General features: G+C 47.7%; 2 protein-coding genes and 1 long non-coding RNA gene across 12 annotated transcripts in view, besides 3 other annotated features; 2 read left to right on the forward strand and 1 right to left on the reverse strand.

Moving 5' to 3' along the window:
- Nucleotides 1–10,355, forward strand: part of ATF3 (activating transcription factor 3) — a 55,371-nt gene extending 45,016 nt beyond the window's left edge. For 4 of the 9 annotated variants that reach the window (NM_001030287.4, XM_011509579.2, XM_005273146.2 and 1 more), the window contains exons 2-4: nt 4,596–4,839; nt 7,705–7,812; nt 8,936–10,353. In NM_001030287.4, coding sequence (NP_001025458.1) covers nt 4,600–4,839; nt 7,705–7,812; nt 8,936–9,133 — 546 coding nt within the window. In that variant the 5' untranslated portion in view covers nt 4,596–4,599 and the 3' untranslated portion in view covers nt 9,134–10,353. Of the gene's footprint in view, nt 1–417; nt 426–4,595; nt 4,840–7,704; nt 7,813–8,549 lie in introns of those variants that run through there. The other 5 variants (NM_001206484.3, NM_001206486.2, NM_001040619.3 and 2 more) reach the window with 5 other exon arrangements.
- Nucleotides 11,205–11,499: a silencer, noted in NCBI's record as "tiled region #14805; HepG2 Repressive non-DNase unmatched - State 23:Low". NCBI's record gives its function as "represses a minimal TATA promoter and a strong SV40 promoter by Sharpr-MPRA in HepG2 cells {active_cell/tissue: HepG2}" and the evidence as "EXISTENCE:reporter gene assay evidence [ECO:0000049][PMID:27701403]".
- GARIN4 (golgi associated RAB2 interactor family member 4) lies at nt 14,052–16,353 on the forward strand. Its single transcript, NM_153606.4, has one exon. The coding sequence runs from the start codon at nt 14,456–14,458 to the stop codon at nt 16,238–16,240; it is 1,785 nt and encodes a 594-aa protein (NP_705834.2). The 5' UTR covers nt 14,052–14,455; the 3' UTR covers nt 16,241–16,353.
- Nucleotides 15,483–15,983: an enhancer, noted in NCBI's record as "H3K4me1 hESC enhancer chr1:212799247-212799747 (GRCh37/hg19 assembly coordinates)". NCBI's record gives its function as "activates a minimal SCP1, AML or CMV promoter by ChIP-STARR-seq in naive H9 embryonic stem cells {active_cell/tissue: H9 hESC(naive)}" and the evidence as "EXISTENCE:reporter gene assay evidence [ECO:0000049][PMID:30033119]".
- LINC02773 (long intergenic non-protein coding RNA 2773) overlaps nt 18,506–21,246 on the reverse strand; it is a 36,718-nt gene continuing 33,977 nt past the window's right edge. For both annotated transcript variants that reach the window (NR_183482.1, NR_183483.1), the window contains exon 4: nt 18,506–21,041. This is a non-coding gene — a long non-coding RNA (long intergenic non-protein coding RNA 2773). The remainder of the gene's footprint in view (nt 21,042–21,246) is intronic.
- Nucleotides 20,088–20,619: an enhancer, noted in NCBI's record as "H3K4me1 hESC enhancer chr1:212803852-212804383 (GRCh37/hg19 assembly coordinates)". NCBI's record gives its function as "activates a minimal SCP1, AML or CMV promoter by ChIP-STARR-seq in naive H9 embryonic stem cells {active_cell/tissue: H9 hESC(naive)}" and the evidence as "EXISTENCE:reporter gene assay evidence [ECO:0000049][PMID:30033119]".

Here is a 21,246-nt window from a genome sequence, read left to right on the forward strand (position 1 = left end):
CATTGGTTGTAGAATAATGCTACAACATACAGGCTCCTGCTTTGAGGATATCCTGGGCAAAGATGGGATGGGGTGAGGATTGCAGTTACTGTCGGAATGGTTTCAGAGACAGCAAAGAAGGCAGCACCCCACGCCCGCAGTGGGGATAAGATACAGCACCCAGCATCTGTGGCAGTGATGGGAGCCTTCTTTTTCTCTCTCTCTTCCTCCTTGCCCTTTAGCCATTATAGAATTCCTTTTTCTCCATGGCCGTTTTCTTCGATAGCCCCTCCCTATCTCAGTCCTGTCAAAGTCTCCTCTGTGATTGGTACCAGGTGCCAGGACTCTTGACCCCTTATCTACCTGGCTAATGGCTCTGTTCTCTGGTTGCCTTGTTGGTTGATCCCTTGAGGCGGTCGATACCTATTGGTGATGGAGCAAAATGAGCAGTCGGTGGGTGTTCAGCAGCTTGGCATGGGCTGGGCCACTCACCAGCTTTATGACCTCAGGCAAGTCATTTTTACCTCCCTGGACCAATGTACTCATTATGAAATGAGAATCTGACCTAGATGATTCTAATATTGAGAGGGTGTGATTTCCATTAGATAGAGTCCATGATTCCTTCCTTTTTAAAATTGGCTGGGCATGGGACAGGGCCAGTGGCTTCGAGTGTTTACCCAGCCAGGGGAGGAGGAAGGACATAGCCAAGATGCCTCAGAAGCTTTCCAAGGGAGAAATGGTTTATATGTGAGAATTGGTTCTCTTTCAAATATGTAATGCAGAAATGCTGGCATCAGCAAATAGTGGGGTGAAACCTACCTGGTCTGTGAAGAACTTGGGGTCAATGAGAGTACAAAAGAGGCTCTGACTGACCTGAATGTCTTGAAGGTTCCAGTTAATTCCTCACTAACAGGGCTTTATTGAATTGATAACAACAGAATGAGTTTTTCCTGAAATGGAGAAGATGGAGTCACAGTAGTAATGACTACCCGGTGTGTATGTAAATCTCATATGTCCTTCTCAACAGCCCTTTGGGGAAGGCAGTTTTGATCTCAAATTACAGAGGAAGAGAATGAGAGGCCCAGAAAGCCTAAGTGATTTGTTGGTGGATGCTCAGCTTATGAGTGGCACTGATAGGCTTAGAAACATTGTCTCTGGCCCTTGATGCCCAGCTTTGCACCTCTTCAAGAGGTCTGGGAGGAAGACCAAGATATGAAGAGTTAGTGAAAGGCCAGTACTGGCTTCCTAGTAACATAAGATGGTTAGCAAGCAATGCTTAGTGGAAAGAGGATGAAAATTAAAAGTGAAAATTCAATGTAGCTGTAGCTACTAGGAAATAAAAATCTGGGAGCTGAATTTCCAGTTAAAGGAATACATGAGTAAACTTTCACTTTCTTGAAAATGATGAAACTGCCAATGATACAACATGATTTCTGATTGGAAATAATCAAGCAGAAACAAAATGCAAGTTCTTGGTAGCAAGTCTGAACAATTTTATGATCAGCATAGAAAGTCAACTCTGATCTGAGGTCCCCAAACAATTTTTTTCAATGACCGGGATGTTTGAGGATCTCAACTTTCTGAAAAATTGTGTGAAGATTTAACTTCATTTCCTTGTGGGGACACAGCCGTAGTCTAGGCTGAATCATACCTCGAGAGACTGAGTAAAGGAATAACTAGAAAGTATCCCGAGAAGTTAAGCTTTAGCCTAGTGCCGAGAAAACCCAAATCTCGACAGATACATCTGTTTTATTTTCTGAAAGGCTTTTAACATTTTTACAACCATTTATGTCCCCAAGGAAGCCCACCCAATGCTTTTCATAAAAGCATTCCATACCACTGACATTCTTCAGCTTCTTTCATTGGGACTGCTGACTTTACATAAGAAGAAGGGTAGGGGGCGGGAGTCATAAACAGCAGACCCCAAGCCCTGAGAGCTCATTAATAAACCTAGTTGGATGGCAAAATGGAACTACACTCTACTGCAGTGGAATTCAAAGTCCCCGTGTAGAAGGGAGCCATCCAGGCCTCCAAACAAAGACCAGCCCAGTGGCAGCTCTGAATGTCATCCCCGAATCACTGAGTTTTTAATAAACTTGGAAAGGGAAGGGAAACATGAATGCATGGGAGAATCTTAAGCCTCTGGCTTTAGAAGGCTAGTTTCTCAGAGTTTATTGCCTGACAGCGACAAGTATCCTCCCAGCATCCTAAGATTATAGGATTAAATTGAGAGAAGAACTTCAGTTCTGACTCATGACACAGGGCTTTGGGAAAAGAATTACATACATAGCCTGGGTTTCTTTGACTAGTCAAGGGCAGATTTCATTGGCCTGGAAGTCTTGCCTCCATTGGTGTATGTTAGATCTCCAGGGGGAGTTTGAAGTCAGGGTATTCTATTCAGAAGCCTTTGAGATCAAAGTGGGTGACCAGCTGCCCTCCTTCCTGGACTCCACAGAGCCTCTGTCAGAGAGCCAGCCCTGGGCTGGAGAGATCTCTGGGAGGCCTAGTAATCATGGAGCTCCTGGCCAAAGAATGTTTTCCAGGGCATATTCATGTATTAGTTCCTCAATTCCTCATAGGATATTATGGGAAAATAGGGCGATTATTACAAGCCCTCTTTAACAGAGGAGAAAAAGCCACGGGGAGGTACAATGATAACACATAATGGAGTAAGTGGGCTTCAAATCTTCATCTTCTGACCTCAGTCTGGGAATTTTGTGGATAAGAGACCCACTTGCTCACACTCCCAGAAGGCAGTTAGCAAGCAGCCTGGGTATGCACCGTGACATAAAGATTAGCAGTTCATTAAACAGAGTTCAGTTTATCCCGAGGAATCTTTACTTAGCCTCCCCTCTATCACTTCATTTCCAGGCCTCCCACCTACCTTAAGGCCTGCCCCGAGAAAATTTGCTCTGGTTTTTTGTTTGTTTGTGCAATATAACATAATGCTTGTTTGTTTTTGTAATGTAGAATAATATTTGTTTGTTTTTTGCAATGTACAAATTAAGGGCATGAATCCTGGAGCCAAACTAACTTAATTCCAAATCCTGATGCTGCCCCATATTAATTCTGTGAATTCGGGCAAATGACTTAGTTTGTCTAAACCTCAATTATCTCATCTATAAAAGGCAGCTAGATCTTAACTCACTGGGTTCTCGTGAGGATTAAATGAGATAGTGCCCCTAAGGTTTCTGGTATGAAGGAGGCACTCCTTAAATGTTCGAGACTTGCCAGAGGGCTTCTTCTCTGTCTGGACTGTGCTAATGACCACAGATCCCCGGTTGAGAGGAATGCCCAGACCACACTCATCCTACACTCATCCCTATACTCATTGTCCCTTGGGAACCAACTGCAGGGAGGAGGGGAAATGGCCACCACTGGAGGGAGTACACAGCAGGCCAAGACTTATGGGGGACTCTTCCAAATTGGGGCCATGGAACTGTCACTATTTCTACTCTTTATTTTCCTTTTGTCATCCTTTTGGGTTCACCGAGCTATAGAATAACAGAGGGAGATGAATTTAGCAAATACATCACTGAAGCTTCTCCCTCGGAAGTTGGGCCCAAGCAATGGGAATGAGAAAGGTAACCTTGGACCGTGGGGGCCATTTGATTTGATGACCCCATCCCCACTTCATTTATCAGTTGGCCAATGAGGCATGGCGAGTCAGGCATTGGGCCAGGCTCTGGGTAAAGCAATGGTGGAGACTCAATGCTTGCATTGGAGGAGCTGTCAGTCATTTACCAGACACAGACTGGGTCCTAGAGAGCTGAAATTACTAGCTCAAGTCACTGCTGTTTAGTGCCAGAGCCAGCCCCAGGGTTCCCTGCCCCCACACCCAGCCTAAGTCTATCCCTATACCACAGGCCTGAACAACTCCCCCACAATACAGTGCCTCACTTTTCTTTAAGACCTTTTGCTTTGCCAACCTTAACCTTAAGAATCCACCTCCCCATCCCCTGCCAAAGACTGGGGTGAAGAAACGCACCTGGCTACAGTTACCTTTCTCATTCCCATTGCTTGGGCCCAACTTCGGGGGAGAAGCTTCAGAGATGTATTTGCTAAATTCAAGGATTCCCCACTTTTTGCTTTTACTTCCACTCACTGATAGTTTCAGCTTGACGTCAAGCCTCTTTGAAAAAGAGGCTTTTTTTTTTAAGTGAAAGAAACTTTATTTTGAGTAATATACAAAAAAAAAAAAAGAGAGAGAGAGAGAAAGAAAAAGAAGCTGAAAATGAGATTACTCATGATTTTTAAAATGGCCTCACTGATTTTTAAAAAATGTTCTTCCTCTTTCAGGACTGTTTGTGGCCACATTTGCACATAGGCACACCAGCCAAAACTCATAGATCTTGTGAATTCAGAGTAGCCTGAAACATCATCCCTTATAAATTTCAAATAGGCATTTTGTTCATGTCACTGAGCTATGTGTATTTTAAGAACCTGCTTTACTTAAGATGAGGATGGCATGAAATGAAAACAAAACAGAAACCCAAGGGCTTATGGGACTTTTCTCTGAGGGTGGGGCTCTGGTGTTGGAGGTCTGGTGGGGGAGGGGGACTTGATCCCATGCCCCAGAGCCCCTGAAACAGTTTGGGTTTCAATGTGTCTTTCAGCAAAATGATGCTTCAACACCCAGGCCAGGTCTCTGCCTCGGAAGTGAGTGCTTCTGCCATCGTCCCCTGCCTGTCCCCTCCTGGGTCACTGGTGTTTGAGGATTTTGCTAACCTGACGCCCTTTGTCAAGGAAGAGCTGAGGTTTGCCATCCAGAACAAGCACCTCTGCCACCGGATGTCCTCTGCGCTGGAATCAGTCACTGTCAGCGACAGACCCCTCGGGGTGTCCATCACAAAAGCCGAGGTGGGTTCTATCACAGGTATTCATTCTTTCGGCACATGTTTCGCTCGCAGCCACTGTGTGTTGGGCATGTTCTAGGCAGGGGGCTGTTGTTGAGAGTGAAACAAACAAAACCACTGCCCTCAGGGAGCTTACCTTCTCCTGGGAGGAGACAGAAGTACATAACATACGTAAGTACACGTTAAGAGATGAGTGCAAAGGAGAAAAAAGCAGGGAGCGGGGCAGAGAGAACGGGTAGGGATGGGGTTGCTGGGTTTAAAAACTTTTCAGGCCAGGCATGGTGGCCCACGCTTATAATCCCAGCACTTTGAGAGGCCAAGATGGGATTATCGCTTGAGTCCAGGAGTTTGAGACCAGCCTGGGCAACACAATGAAACCCAATCTCTATGACAGTATTAGCTGGGCAAGGTGGTACATGGCCTATAGTCTCATCTACTTGCGAGGCTGAGGTGGGAGGACCGCTTGAGCCCAGGAGGTTGAGGCTGCAATGAGCCGTGATCACCTCACTGCACTCCAGCCTGGGTGATGGAGCAAGACTCATTTTGCTTTTAGAGACAGTGTTGCTCCATCACCCAGGCTGGGGTGCAGTGGGGTGATCACGGCTCATTGTAGCCTCAGTCTCCTGGGCTCAAGCGATCCTCCTGCTTCAGCCTCCCAAAACACTGGGATCACAGGGATGAGCCATTGCACCCAGCCGGGGTTGCTGTTTTAAATTAGGAAGTCAGGTAAGGATTCACTGATAGTGACTTTTGAGCAGAGGTCAAAAGGAAAGGAAGAAGGAAAGAGGAGAGGGAAGAAGCCACGTGGGTATCTGGTAAAAGAAATTAAGGGCACTGAGGTGGAAGTATTGGTGCCTGGTGGGCTGTGCAGTGGGGCAGAGTATAGGGGTGGGAGATAAATAGGGGCTGGTCATATTGGGTCTTACAGATTATTATTGTATAGATGCAGCCCTGGGCTCAAAGTGAGGTGGGAAACCACAGAAGGCTTTTGAGCAGAGAAGCAACAAGATTCAACACACACACACACACACAGATACACACACACACTTTTTTTTTTGAGACAGAGTCTTGTTCTGTCACCCAGACTGGAGTGCAGTGGCATGATCTTGGCTCACTGCAACCTCTGCCTCCCAGGTTCAAGGGATTCTCATGCCTCAGTCTTCCAAATAGCTGGGATTACAGGTGCCCGCCACACGTCTGGCTAATTTTTGAATTTTTTTAGTAGAGACGGGGTTTCTCCATGTTGGCCAGGCTGGTCTCGAACTCCTGACCTCAGGTAATCCGCCCGCCTCGGCCTCCCAAAGTGCTGGGATTACAGGTGTGAGCCACCACGCCCAGCCTTGATTTATATTTTTAAATGATCACCCTGGCTGTCATGTTGAGAATGGGCAGTAGGGGTAAGACAGAAGCTGAGTGCACAGAAAGGAGGCCGTGGCAGGAATCCACGTGAGTCAGGGGGCCTGCAGCAGGAGGGAGCAGTGCAGGTGCTGAGAAGTGGTTGGCTTTGGATCTGACTTGAAGGTAAAGCTGATTTGCTGATAGATTGGATGTGGGGTGTAAGAGAAAGGGAAGACTCAAGGGTGACTGAGTTTTCTGGCCAGCATAGCTGTAAGAATGGAGCGTCCATTTGCTGCTGAGATTTGGGATTATAGGGGTTAGGGTGGTGGCAAGAGCAGGAGGTCTGTCCTATTCTGCAGACCCCTGTGGAGATGTCAAGCAGGCAGTTGGATATGTGAGTCTGGAGTTCAGAGGACAGTCTGGGCTAGAGATAATAGAGTTGGAAATTATCGGCATATAGATGGCACTTAAAGCCATGAGTCAGGATGAGGCCACCTTCTGTGTCCAGTTGTTCTGAAGAAGCTTGGAGCGTGGTGGTCCCTGTTTTTATCACTACTAGGACCCAAGCACCCAGACAGTAGAGCAAGGACCAGGCAGCCTGCCCCACCCTTCCCTGTAGCAATGTTCACAGCCTTGGGACCAGGTGTTGCTCCAGGTTCACTTCTGTCTGACACACTTGCACTGTTCCACGCTTGGCAACCTTGGGTAAGACTCCTGGAATAATAAACATGGTGAGAAGTCTGGGAGGTGGCTTCTGGCGATGCCATAGTGGCTTAAGGATGTCAGAGCTGAGGTTCCACCATTTTATTGGCCTTTTCCTCATGGTGGCAAGTGGAAGTGTTTCAGGCTTACTCAACTGGCATGATTGCAGCCTTTGGGCAAGGAGTAGTGGGACTGACCTAAAAGACTGTCCTAGTTCACCACTTGCAGGTGGCACCCCAGCATGGGCCGATTAATGCCGCTTTGGTTGGGAATGGGCTTAGGTGCCTTTTCTACAGGAGCATCATGGGCTTCTCCCAAATTTGGGAAGCTGGTGCTCTGATGCTCCAGGTGAAGTCAGAGGTGAATGGGGTTGCCCTTGGGTCTTGAATTGAAGAAGAGGCCGGGAGTGGGTGGCTAGGTAATGATCCTGAGATCATTCCTGGTTCTCAAAGAAAGGAGATGTTTACCAGACAGAATCTGTTTCGGCTTTAAATGATTATAGTTAATACCAATAGTTATCAATTTGCATATTATCCTCATCTCAAAATCCAAATGCATTTTTAAAATTGGCTAACTTTTAATTTACTAATATATTGCCGGTATAATTTTAACTTTGATTTTTGTTGTTCACTCACGTGTGTGTGTGTGCGTGTGTGTGTGTGTGTGTGTAGGGGTTTTCACACAAAAGTCTAGAGCTTTAGTATTTCGGGGTCTTTTAGCGCTAGCATTGCCCTTGTCTGCCAGCTTTTGCTGGCAGTAAAAGGCAGTGTATTTGAGGTAGGTGGCATTTCTTACTGCCCTTTAAATGTGTTTCTTTTGGATTTTACAGGTAGCCCCTGAAGAAGATGAAAGGAAAAAGAGGCGACGAGAAAGAAATAAGATTGCAGCTGCAAAGTGCCGAAACAAGAAGAAGGAGAAGACGGAGTGCCTGCAGAAAGTGAGTGCCTTCTAGCCTTACCCTTCCTCTCGCTCACGCCTGTCTTCACCAGCTTCATGTGGCTATCAGAAGAAGAGTTAGAAAACCCCCTACTTGGTTATAGTTTCCCAAGAAGGGCCTTGTAGCTGGTAGCAGAAATGCCAGTTGCAGAATGAGGAGGTGGCAAAGCAGTTAACACAATGGATGTGACGGTGGATGTATAAAAACAGGTGTGTGAATTCGTCTGATGCCTGACTCCCAGCAGCCTCGGCCGGTTCATACATGTCCATCAGCTTCCAGGCTGCAGGACATGCCAGCCCAGTTAAAGAGGCTTCACTTGACTGTTTTCCTGAGAAAAGGAAGCTGCCAGCTCTCATTTGGCTCACTATGAAAAGCCTTTAATTAATCTCTTCAAACAAGTTATTTCCTTAATCCACAAGCAGTGGTTACACTTGCTTTGCATTCTTGTCTGGTTCCTAACTCTAGAGCCCTTCTCCCTGGCTTAGCCAGTAAGCTGAGCCCCTGGCTGCGTTCAGCCGGCCCGCCTGAGAGACACTAGGGGAAATAGCTTTTGTGGGCAAGCAGGGTGGCCGGTGGTGCTCAGCAGTCTTTCCAGTGGCTGTGTCCCTCCTCCAAATGTGGACAGGCCATGACAGAGTCTTAGCCCAAGTCCCACAGATCCCCAAAAGTTCTGTTGATTGCTTCAGGGGATCAGTGAAAATTAGGGAATTTTGTGTGTTGCTATATACATTTTTTCTGGGGAGATGAGCTTCTCATTGAGATCTGTGACTCAGAATCGACTAAGCCACCATAAGTCTGGATTTCTCCCCAGCTCCCAAGGCCCTTTTGGGTCCAGAAGACCTGCATATGGGCTGTTGACTCATGCAAATGAGGTATCTGAACTGCAGCTTCAGTATTAGCAGAGCCACAGGCCGCCTCTGTGGCATCACCAGGGTTTCTCTGAAGAAGAGGGTCTGCATTTTCCTAAACCCAGTGCTGCTCTCCCATCTCCCATCTTCCTCTCGCAGCTTGATGAGCCCCGGTGTGTCCCAGGTACACCCCTGCATCCAGGCAGCAGCCCAGGCCACCCCCTCCTCACTGGCCCTTGGCTCCTTTCTTGATGCCTCTGTTGCTTGTCCCCCAGGAGTCGGAGAAGCTGGAAAGTGTGAATGCTGAACTGAAGGCTCAGATTGAGGAGCTCAAGAACGAGAAGCAGCATTTGATATACATGCTCAACCTTCATCGGCCCACGTGTATTGTCCGGGCTCAGAATGGGAGGACTCCAGAAGATGAGAGAAACCTCTTTATCCAACAGATAAAAGAAGGAACATTGCAGAGCTAAGCAGTCGTGGTATGGGGGCGACTGGGGAGTCCTCATTGAATCCTCATTTTATACCCAAAACCCTGAAGCCATTGGAGAGCTGTCTTCCTGTGTACCTCTAGAATCCCAGCAGCAGAGAACCATCAAGGCGGGAGGGCCTGCAGTGATTCAGCAGGCCCTTCCCATTCTGCCCCAGAGTGGGTCTTGGACCAGGGCAAGTGCATCTTTGCCTCAACTCCAGGATTTAGGCCTTAACACACTGGCCATTCTTATGTTCCAGATGGCCCCCAGCTGGTGTCCTGCCCGCCTTTCATCTGGATTCTACAAAAAACCAGGATGCCCACCGTTAGGATTCAGGCAGCAGTGTCTGTACCTCGGGTGGGAGGGATGGGGCCATCTCCTTCACCGTGGCTACCATTGTCACTCGTAGGGGATGTGGAGTGAGAACAGCATTTAGTGAAGTTGTGCAACGGCCAGGGTTGTGCTTTCTAGCAAATATGCTGTTATGTCCAGAAATTGTGTGTGCAAGAAAACTAGGCAATGTACTCTTCCGATGTTTGTGTCACACAACACTGATGTGACTTTTATATGCTTTTTCTCAGATCTGGTTTCTAAGAGTTTTGGGGGGCGGGGCTGTCACCACGTGCAGTATCTCAAGATATTCAGGTGGCCAGAAGAGCTTGTCAGCAAGAGGAGGACAGAATTCTCCCAGCGTTAACACAAAATCCATGGGCAGTATGATGGCAGGTCCTCTGTTGCAAACTCAGTTCCAAAGTCACAGGAAGAAAGCAGAAAGTTCAACTTCCAAAGGGTTAGGACTCTCCACTCAATGTCTTAGGTCAGGAGTTGTGTCTAGGCTGGAAGAGCCAAAGAATATTCCATTTTCCTTTCCTTGTGGTTGAAAACCACAGTCAGTGGAGAGATGTTTGGAAACCACAGTCAGTGGAGCCTGGGTGGTACCCAGGCTTTAGCATTATTGGATGTCAATAGCATTGTTTTTGTCATGTAGCTGTTTTAAGAAATCTGGCCCAGGGTGTTTGCAGCTGTGAGAAGTCACTCACACTGGCCACAAGGACGCTGGCTACTGTCTATTAAAATTCTGATGTTTCTGTGAAATTCTCAGAGTGTTTAATTGTACTCAATGGTATCATTACAATTTTCTGTAAGAGAAAATATTACTTATTTATCCTAGTATTCCTAACCTGTCAGAATAATAAATATTGGAACCAAGACATGGTAAACATGTGTTGTGCTGGTTTCTGTTCATTTAAATCTGTCGGTTGCTGAGACCTAGCGATTCCCTGCCTTTCCCTCCCCATTATGGGGGGTGCCTAGCTTTAAACTTCTCCAGATGTCATCCTTTGCTCTTTGGGGCATCACTAGATGGGATAGTTGGCTTTCAGTCCTGTTCCTCAGTCTTGGGCACCTGATGCTCAATTTTTCATTGACAAACCCTGAAACATGGCACCAAATATATCCTTTAGATCAACAGTTTGGTGTTTAGAATTTTGATGTACAACTGAATTGCTAGATACCTTAATTATTTTCTCTGAATGTACAAACACCTAAAACATACACCTGTTGTTCAGCTTGAACCTTTGACCCCTAACATTCTGCCACAGAACTCGTCTCAGAGAGTTACTCACTTGAGTTACATCTGTTTCATGTCTAAACGTGTGTCTCATTGTTGCAAATACATATCAGAAAAGAATGGGAAGGGGTACCGGAGGAAGAAAGAACCATTTTAGACAGCATGGGTGTGATAATTCAAAGAAAGACATTCCACTGAATTTCCTGGAATTTCCAGGGCGTATGATTCCTTTGGCCTGCAAGAGAGCCAGGCCCCCTTGCTTTTTGTGCTTCTCTATAACATTCACAGGCTAGACATAAAAACTGGCCACTCGCCGCTGGTGCCATTCTTCAGAGAAGAATGTCTTCGTTAAATGTCAGATTCGTACACATGAATTCTGTGCCTACTTCTTTGACCTCATGTATGTTTCCTTTAAATGATCACTTAAGACACAGGTGTCTTCATTTTACTCTCTGAATTGCACATCAGGGGTCTTTCCTAATCCATCAAGAGCCATCTGATGTTAATACCATTCAGCACTTCTTTCAGGGGATAATTTATGTTCCTTTTCTTGGTGGAGGGGAAAACATCCCTTGCATTTACCTTCTAGTTATGGGTAGAGGCACCAGCCACCAGCCATTATGAAACGCAAGACAATTTGTAAGCTGCCAGGAACAACAATGGATTAGAGAGGAAGGAAGTTGGGGGCGGATGGTGGCTATGGCAAGAAAACTTGATGTGTATGGTAAGTGTAAATGAAGGTCTATCACAAATGCATTAAAAATTGTTTTATGTAGCCAAGTTTATGTTTTGATACTTTAATTTTAAAAAGGATGATGACTATGCATTTACCATCAAGGCATTTAGTTTCTTTTGTTTCACATTTAGAGGAAAGGGAAGGTGGGGGGATCTGAGAGAATAAACTTAGATGGGGCCACCACCAATATCAAGCACCCGGTTTGGCAGTGTCTGCACTGAGCTGTCTCCTGTTGGTAGTGGTGATGTCACACTGCCAGGGTGTGGAAAGCCACCCTCCCTCCTCTCTCTTGCCTTCCACCTGCCCCTTTGGCTTTCCCTGAGAGCTGGCCTGACACCTGTTTCAGAGTCAAGAGCTTTTAAAGGGTTCTGGCCCAGGACAGGAGTTCTGGAATGGAATCTTTCCACTTTCTGTTAACTAAAATACTATTTTCCATCTGTATCCTAATTTCTCCCCATGGGCTTTGAATAAACCCTCAACACTCCAACCCATATCAAGCTTTCTCCTCTCTTCCCTGTCCCGTAACCTCTGGTTGGGTTCATGTACTGTTTCTTTGTGGCGTGAACAGCGTTTCCAATTAGAATCTGCCTGAAAGGAGGTCCCATTTGCCCACTGAGCATCCTGTGTTCTCATGGTGGCTCTAACTCCAGAAGATTTTAACACAGTCTCATCAAACACTGCTTTCAGGGAGGAATTTACACTGAGGTTAAAAGGACTGTTGAGGACTAATGCTAACAGAAGCTAACATTTATTGCGTAGGACAATACACTAAACACTTCACATGTATTATCCCATTTAATCCTCACAACAACTGCTACCCCCATTTTACAGATGAGGGAGTGGAGAGCTCAGTAACTTGCTCGAGGTCTCACAGTGGATCTTTCCAAAGCTGAAGCCTATGCTTGTTTTCAACAGCAATGATTTCAAACAAGAGTATATACATTTGTGTGTGTGTGCGTGGTAAGATATACAAAAAATTTGCCATTGTAACTATTTTGAAGTGTACAATTCAGTGCCATTAAGTACATTCACAATGCAGTGTAACCATTACTATCTAGTTCCAGAACTTTTTCACTGTCCCCAAAGGAAATCCTGTACCCATTAAGGAGTCACTCTTCATTCCCCTTCCTTCCAGTCTCTGGCAACCACTAATCTGTCTTCTGTTTCTATGGACTTGCCTGCGCTGGATATTTTATGTAAATAGCATCATACAATATGTGGCCTTTCGCACAATACGGCTGGCTTCTTTCACTTAGCATAATGTTTTCAAGTGTCAGCCTAGCGTATTATGTAATAGTACCTTATTTCTCTTTATGGCTGAATAGTATTCTGTTGTATGGATACTATACTTTTTGTTTATCCATTCATCAGTTGATAGACAGGTGTGTGTATGTTAAGAAACAGCTAGCCTTTATCTTCAAGAACTGAATCTCTAAGGTAGGATTTCAGGCCTGATGTCAAGCTGGGAGAAAAGAGAGTTGGAAGCAGGTGCTCCTTTTCAGGACTTCCAGGTAACAGCTTGGAAATTACTTATTCCTGGGCTCGCTCTGTGGGCATGGCAAGGCAGGAGGTATAGTAGCACCTGTTCCCCATGGATGTAAATGGCTTCCAAAGTACTTCTGCATAGTAGAGAGGTTAGTAGAGGAGGGCCTTTGATAGGCTCCTGGAATGTAAGCTCACACTTTCCATCCTACCCTCTTCTCCCGGCATTTCACAGGGTAGGGGGTAAGAAGAGGCACGGGGCAAACACTGGGGGCCTTGAGAAAATATTTGGGCTCCCTGACACAGGATGTTGGTATAAACATGATGGAGGAGAAATAGAGGTGGCCCCTTGGATAATTTAATCCCCCACTCAGCCCAGCCCCTTTCTGAAGTGGTTGTCCTGGATTCTCCATAACATGCATGCATACACACACACACACACACACACACACACAGAATTAATTATGCAACTTATTTGGCTTGCCCAAGCTTTTTTTGTAAGTTCTGTAGTGGTTCAGAAGGAAGATTTTAAAAGCAGCAAGACCTGTATTCAAATAATACCTCCACTGCCTACGAGTTCTACAAATGCAGGTATGTTTCACAACTTCAGGTTTTTTTTACCTGTAAGATGAGAAGCGTTGCAATAGTATCAAACTGGAATGGAGTTTGATACATAGTATGGCGCCTAGAAGAAGCAATCTCTCATGTTATTATTAAAGGTTGAGGTTATTACTAAAGATTTCCATTGTCAGCATGAACTGAGATTTTATGGAAGAGTGGGCTAAGAACCAAGACTGCGAATTCTAGGTTAAAAAAAAATTTAAACCGTGTACTCAAATGGTTCAAATTTATCCCATCATCTTGCGTTCCTGTAGACTCTGCCTAGTTGCTGAATCTTTTGAATTTGGGGTGAGGAAGGGGAAGCAACCACACATTTTCTCATTTGAAAAATTTTTATTTTGGCACCCACTTGAGTACCTGGCACGGTGGGGCTGTCCTCTATGGGGGCAATGGAGTATTAGTGAGGGCATTGTGGCCCTGGCCTGGGGGATGAGAACAAAGGGGTATGTGACAGCAACAGGTCACAAAGGGAAGCAGAAGATAAATATGGCTGCACAGGGGGTTTAGGCAGAGAGGGTCGTCACTTCCTGTCACTAGGACTACAGTTTGTAGTCTCTCTCAGGGAGAGAGACTACAAACTGTAATTAAAAAAATCAGAGGTGGAGGTCAGGGGGTTAGGTCCAGAAGAAAACCTCTCTGGAGCCCACCCTGCATCTCTACGTCTTGGAAGAGTCTGGAGTCCAGGCACCCTACAGCACCCCCCACAGCAATCATCCGTGCTCCCACCCCCACCCCGGCCTCTGGGAGGCTCTGAGGCAACAGTGGGGGCCTGTGGGGTGGGGTGGGATTGAGAGACCAGCTGCAGAGACATCTTTGTGACCCAGGAGCACCACTGGTCCCTCATCTGCCACCGAGGCCAAGGAAGACCCAGAGACCTGCCTCACCAGTGCTGCCGTTGTGCTGAAAGACAACCATGAATGCTGATTTTCTGCTGCCGTATTATACGGCCCAGAGTGGCTCCAGCATGAGCATGTTCAACACCACCATGGGGAAACTGCAGCGACAACTGTACAAGGGGGAGTACGATATATTCAAGTATGCACCGATATTTGAGAGCGACTTTATCCAGATCACCAAAAGGGGAGAAGTGATTGATGTGCACAACCGTGTCCGTATGGTGACCATGGGCATTGCACGTACCAGCCCCATCCTCCCACTCCCAGATGTCATGCTACTGGCACGACCGGCCACCGGCTGCGAAGAGTATGCTGGACATGGCCAGGCCACCAAGAGAAAAAAACGCAAGGCAGCAAAGAACTTAGAGCTCACCAGGCTTCTGCCCCTGAGGTTTGTACGGATCTCTGTTCAAGACCATGAGAAACAACAGCTGCGCCTGAAGTTCGCCACTGGCAGATCTTGCTATCTGCAATTGTGTCCCGCTCTTGACACACGGGATGACCTCTTTGCCTATTGGGAAAAACTAATTTACCTCTTGCGGCCACCCATGGAGAGTAACAGCAGTACCTGTGGCATTCCAGCTGAAGACATGATGTGGATGCCTGTGTTTCAGGAAGACAGGAGGAGCCTGGGAGCCGTGAACCTTCAAGGAAAGGGGGATCAGGACCAGGTCAGCATCCAAAGCCTCCACATGGTCTCTGAGGTGTGTGGGGCCACCTCTGCTGCTTATGCTGGAGGGGAGGGACTCCAAAATGACTTTAACAAACCCACTAATGTGCTCAATGCATCCATCCCCAAAACATCTACAGAACTTGCTGAGGAGCCAGCAACAGGGGGGATTAAAGAGGCAGCAGCAGCAGGGGCAGCTGCAGGGGCAGCAACAGGCACCGTAGCAGGTGCCTTGAGTGTGGCAGCAGCCAATTCTGCCCCTGGACAGGTGAGCGCAGCCATAGCTGGGGCGGCCACCATCGGTGCAGGAGGAAACAAAGGCAACATGGCCCTTGCAGGCACTGCCAGCATGGCTCCAAACAGCACGAAGGTGGCTGTGGCAGGGGCTGCAGGCAAGTCCTCAGAGCATGTTTCCAGCGCATCCATGAGCCTTTCCCGAGAGGGCAGTGTGAGCCTGGCCATTGCAGGAGTAGTACTGACCAGCAGGACAGCTGCAGAAGCAGACATGGATGCAGCAGCGGGACCTCCCGTCTCCACCCGGCAGAGCAAGAGCAGCCTGAGTGGACAGCATGGAAGGGAGCGAACCCAGGCCAGCGCTGAAGGCTGCAAGGAGGGGAGGGAAAGAAGGGAAAAGGACAGGGCTCTCGGAAGGAGTTCCCATCGCCGCAGGACAGGTGAAAGCCGCCACAAAACAAGGGGAGACAAGATTGCCCAAAAGTCCTCCAGCAGGTCCTCATTCAGCCACAGAGCCAATAGAGATGACAAAAAGGAGAAAGGCTGTGGCAACCCGGGGAGCAGCAGGCACAGGGACTCGCATAAAGGTGTCAGCCACACGCCCATCTCAAAGGAGTCCAGGACCTCTCACAAATCTGGGAGGAGCTTATGGACCACCAGTTCCGGTTCCAGCAAGGGACTTGGCAGGGTCAGCTCTTTCCTGAGGAACGTCAGAGCCAACCTTACTACAAAAGTAGTGGGCACACCACATGGCAGAGATGTGAACGTCATGGCTAAGATGGCGGAGAGGAGCACCAACGTGGCCATCGCCGAGACAGCAGAGGGTGGCCAGGGGCTGGAGACGGTTGGTTCTATGACACCGGACATCATGGAGACAGTGACCTTTGAAGCCCATTAAATAAGACCCAGAGCTGGAAGCTGCAAAGGAGCCCAGAGCTCATGGGAGTGTCCCTGGAAAGCCTATTCCAGCGTTCTTTACTGCCGTTTAAATAAAGAATCATACATCTGAAAGTGGCTTGCTGGCTGAATTTTTGTGTCCCACAGCCCAGCAGTGACCTCACAGTGGATTCTGTGATGTCAACTGTGCTGCAGCCTGAGACCCCAGGATCCAGTCAAGGGTAGCCCCACCTCACACCCATGCTCAGCAGAGCCCAGATGAGTGCTCCAGCTTTCCTCAACCCCTTCCTGGCTTTGGTTCGCCAGGACTATGGCTGAAAGTCAGGCTGGGAGCTTGAAGCTCTACCTCCACCATCTCCCCATCCTTTTTATAAACTTGCCCCCTCCCAACCCTGGAAAATCCAAAGACGAAGCAAGAACAGAACTCTCACCCCCTTGCACTATTCATAGGAGGGAGTAAGGGAGCAGCAGCATGTGTTGGCAACCAGAACAGGGAGGAGCATTGTCTAGACTTAGCAATTCCACCCCTAAGTATACTCCCAAGAAACACACATGTTGCAGGAGACAGCCATGAGAATGTTTGTAGCAAAATAATACTGGAAACTGCCTAAATTTCCATCAACAGAATTGAGAGGGGTATATGCAGTGACAAATAAATGGCAGCTACACACATTAGCGTATTAGCATAGATAAGTTTTGCTCTTTCAAAAACTTTAAAAAGCAAATTGCAGAATAAGATATAATTCTACCTACAGGACAATTCAAAAACAAGATCAAATACAAATAATATGTTACATATTGGATACATGTTTGGTAAAACAAAACCAAGGGAGTGGGAAAAAATTCAGGACAGTGGTTTTCTCTGGGGTGGAAAGGCAAGAGATTGGATCAAGGAGGTGAACACAGTCTTTCAGTGGTGTTGGGAATTGTTTTAGTTCTTAAGGGAGGCGGTAGGTACAAGGCTGTTTATTATTTTGTTGGGTTTTGCATTTCAACATTGTGTTTTGCATTTTAATACCTCTGGAATCAGAATGGTCCTACAACCACCGTGGCAGTTCTGATGAAGTTATTGCTCCAGACATATATTCACCAATTCCTTCTCCTCAATGCTTTCATTTTTATGCATGCACAAAAGTGATCTAAGTCTGAAAGGCCCATTTTGTTAAGAATCACATGAGAATGACATTATTACCAAAAGCCTTGGGAAAGAAAGAATGATATCCCTATTTTACAGAAGAGGACACTGAGGCTCAAGAGGGTAACTTGCTCCAGTCACACAGAGGGACCTTTGCAGATCTACCAGCCCACTTCTTTATGCAAAGCCCTGTCTGAGACATGGGAAGGAGGCAAACCCAGCAAATCCAAGGAGAATCGGGCAATGCAAGAACCTGAGACTTACCAGGTTCCTACCACCATGGTCTAAAACTTTATAGAGATGAGCACCAAAATTCCTGGATTGAGAGGAGGGAATGTGGGGGCAGGGGACATGTCTGGTGGTGAGCTGCTGTGAGTTGGCTTTGGAACTTCAATGAGCTCATAGTCCTTAGTTGGCCTTATCTCAAGAGTGTCCAGACCACCCTTAAGCCATGTCTGGCTCCCAGGCTTCGCTCCCCAGCCTCTGCCTCAGCTATAAACAGACCTCCCTCCTGGAATTCCAGGCCTTGCTCCCCAACAGGGATCGCTTCTGACGGGGGCTGCATCTCTTTGCAGCCCAGTCCTCGCCCAGCTGCTAATAAAACATTTAAAAGCCAGGCCCAGAATGGTTTCTCCGTACCAGATCTTCAGGAAATTTTTTCTGCTGGGATTCCAAACCACACGTGAGGGGGTAACGAGTTAGGTCACAGCATCCTTGCTACTTGGACCTCCACAGTTAATTCCTAAAGCTACTTTTGAGAAAAGTCACACATTTCATTATGCAGGTAAGGAGAGGTCTCTTCTGTCCACAGAGGGAATTGTAGGCATGAATCCATGAAAGAAAGGGGTTTGAGAAAGAAAGAAGGCCCAAGACATACACACAGCCACCATTTCCTTCTGCAAAACAAGGCTCGTGACCCCAGGATGAGGAATTAATGGGGTGAGTCAAGTTATTCTTAATAAAGGGGGGAACATGCCAAAGATTAGATATGAATTGGCTCTGTGAGGAAAACAACCTCAGAATCATTAACCCAGAATTCTAGGGAAGATTGGGGGGCCTGCAGGGGGATGAATTAATGGTTTACTCTTGACCAGCTTTTCCCTTGACCCAAGTGGGGAAATTACAAAAAGATCACATCGCATTCCTTTAATCTTCTGATTTCCACACAGGCAAGTGTAGGTAAACACTAGTCTGGAAGACAAAAATGCAATACAAACATTTGTACAGCCCTTAGCAGTTTATAACACCCTTTCATTACGTGTTCTCTTCTGATTCTCACATCTCTCCATTTTGCAGATCAACAAACTGGAGTTCAGGTCATCTAAAGGACTTGTTCAAGGTGGGAGGTGATGGGGCAGAAGGAACAACTCCAGTGCAACAGCTTTCGGGCACCACCAATGTGTGCTGGCCATGGGTCCCACATGGAGGTACAGAGCCAGTGGAGGACAAAGGACAGGCGTGTGTGTAATTATTGCAACCCTTGAGTGACAGATACAATGAGAGATGCATGTTTAGGGAACAGGATTTGTTCAGAGGAGGGATTCTGGGACACGGGTCAGGAAAGGCTTCGCAGAGGAAGTGGCAGTTTTGAAGGATAAGTAGGGCTGTGCCCGGTGAAGAAAGAATGGGGAGAAAGGGTAAAGGTGGAGGAGGTGTGGAGTGAGGGGTGGAGAGAGGGAATTAGGCCATGGAGAAGAATGTGTGCAAAGTACAAAGGCTTGAAACATCACAGTGTTTTGGGGTGATTGCTGGGTAGAGGGCCAAGGAGAGGAGGGACACAGGGCAGGAAAATCAAGCAGCCAGTTCTTGGGGCCGTGGGGTGCTGTGTGGATGCCTGGCCTTTCGGAGCCACTGGAGGCTGATGTCTGATGGAAGTAAGGGCTGTCTGGCTCCAGGGTAGAGACTTGATGGGCAAGGGGCTCCCTGGAGCCTGGGACCCTTCAGAAAGCCATTGCACTAATCCTGGCCAGAGATGGGAGGCCCTGAACCTAGCTGGCTGTTAGGAAACCAGGGGGAGAGAGTCAAGAGGTGTTGAAAAGACGAAACAGGACAATAGTCTTTTCCATGCCCTGAAAGACAGAGCACACATGGGTTAGGCCTGACACTCTCCTAAAGGAGGCAGAACTGACAAAAGTGGAGACATCTTCCCTCTACCATGACTGTTGTTCTGTAAAGGGGGCTGCAAGCAGAGGGGCTCATGGCAAGCAAGGAGGAAGATGTTAAGGTGTAACACAACAGCTTCTAGACCCATGAGGGGCAAAACACAAGGATAAGGCAGCCAGGTGCGGCTGCGGGGTTTCAGTGCTGGAGACCTCTGAGAGTAGAAGCCTCCTGAACTCTTCTTCCTTTCTCATCTGCTGGGAACTGGGTCAGATGCTCTCCTACTGGGCCTTTCTCCGCGGGGCATGAGTCGCCCAATAGAGCCTCTGGTGGCCCTGTGCTGTTACTGCAGGTCAGGGCTGGAAGGAGGGGAGCCAGGATTGAGGCTAAGACACAGTCACCCTTCCCCTTTTTCACACCACAATCAGCCTGGTGCTGATTCACCTATAATCAGCTCAATCCCTCAGCTGGCGGCCACCCCTGAGCAGGCAGCTGGCAGAGCTGCGAGCTGGTAAAGATGAGCGTCATCCAGGCAGTGTGGCTCTAGTCTCCTGGCAGTGGGGTGACAGAGCGTGGAATGGCTGCAAGACAGGTCCCCTGAGGGGCTGGGATCCCGACTCAAGGGGACAGTGAGTAACTGCCAAGAGTCGGGGTGGGGTGGAGTTCATGTCAGGGTCCCTCTGCAGGCGCTGGTCATTTGAGAAACAATTGTTGAGCACCTACGATGGGCCAAGACGGGAAATCAGGCACAGTGAAGATGCTGCCATACACAGCAGTAACACAAACCCAAGTGGGGGATGGCTCTCGGGCAGCACGCAGAAGGAGGCTTTGCAGAGGAGGGGAGGTCTGAGCAGAAACAGCAGGCTGAGCGCTCCTGGAAGAGGCTATGGCATGACAGGGAAAGAGAAGGGCTTGGGTGACATGGGCCTCTTCATAGATGGCAGACAAGCTCAGTGTGCCCAGGCGCAATGTGTGATGTGCTGGAGGAGAGTAGGGGGTGGGGGGCGAGCAGTGGGAAGGAGCATGACAGTGTGAGGAAAATTAGGCTGAAAGGAGGATGAGATCTGGAAGGGAGGTGGAACTGACTAAAGCAGAGTGTCTTCCCCCTGCAGGGACTGTTGGTTGTAAAGGGGACAGCAAGAAGAGAGGCTCACAGGAAAGCAAGGAGGAGTGTGTGGCTTTCCAGGTCTCCATTCCCGAATGCTGCATAACTCCCCTGAGTCCTGTGATTTTTCACTACCCAAATGGGAGCTATAGTGCAGGGGTGAGGGGTGTGCACAGCTGGGCTCTTTGAGAACAAAAGGGCAAAGGAAGCCCAGACTCTTCCCCTTTGCCAGTTTAGAGAACCTGAAATGTGTTGTGGAGGCCTGTGTCTTCCCCACACTCTCTAATGGGAGCTTTCCCACAGATGTGCCAAGGTATTGATCTCTCTCTTCTTGGGGGCGGCTGAAGGATGAGTCCAGTCAGCATTGACTGCAAGGATCCCCAACTGGTATGCCAGTGTGCCATTCCGATGTTGTCATTTTCTGCGTATGCCATGGTCTGCAAAAGGTTGGGAAGCATCTTCCTAGACATGCACACAACACCGTGAGTGTGAACTATGAGCACAGAAGCCAGGAGCAGATGAGAGGCACCTTCCTTAAAGAGCTGGCCTGTTCCTCACAGCATCAGTTGATGCCAGTCTTGTCACCCCTGTTTTCTTTTCCCACTGACATTGGCATAGCCCCAGAACCCTGTCTTAAAGCAATTTACACTGCTTCAAGGAGAGATGA

The sequence above is a fragment of the Homo sapiens genome, chromosome 1 (assembly GCF_000001405.40).
Source record: "Homo sapiens chromosome 1, GRCh38.p14 Primary Assembly".
Taxonomy (NCBI): Eukaryota; Metazoa; Chordata; class Mammalia; order Primates; family Hominidae; genus Homo; species Homo sapiens.

What these genes read in the sequence shown, in the direction of transcription:
- GARIN4 (NM_153606.4), top strand. Translation starts at nt 14,456, where the DNA reads ATGAATGCTGATTTTCTGCTGCCGTATTATACGGCCCAGAGTGGCTCC.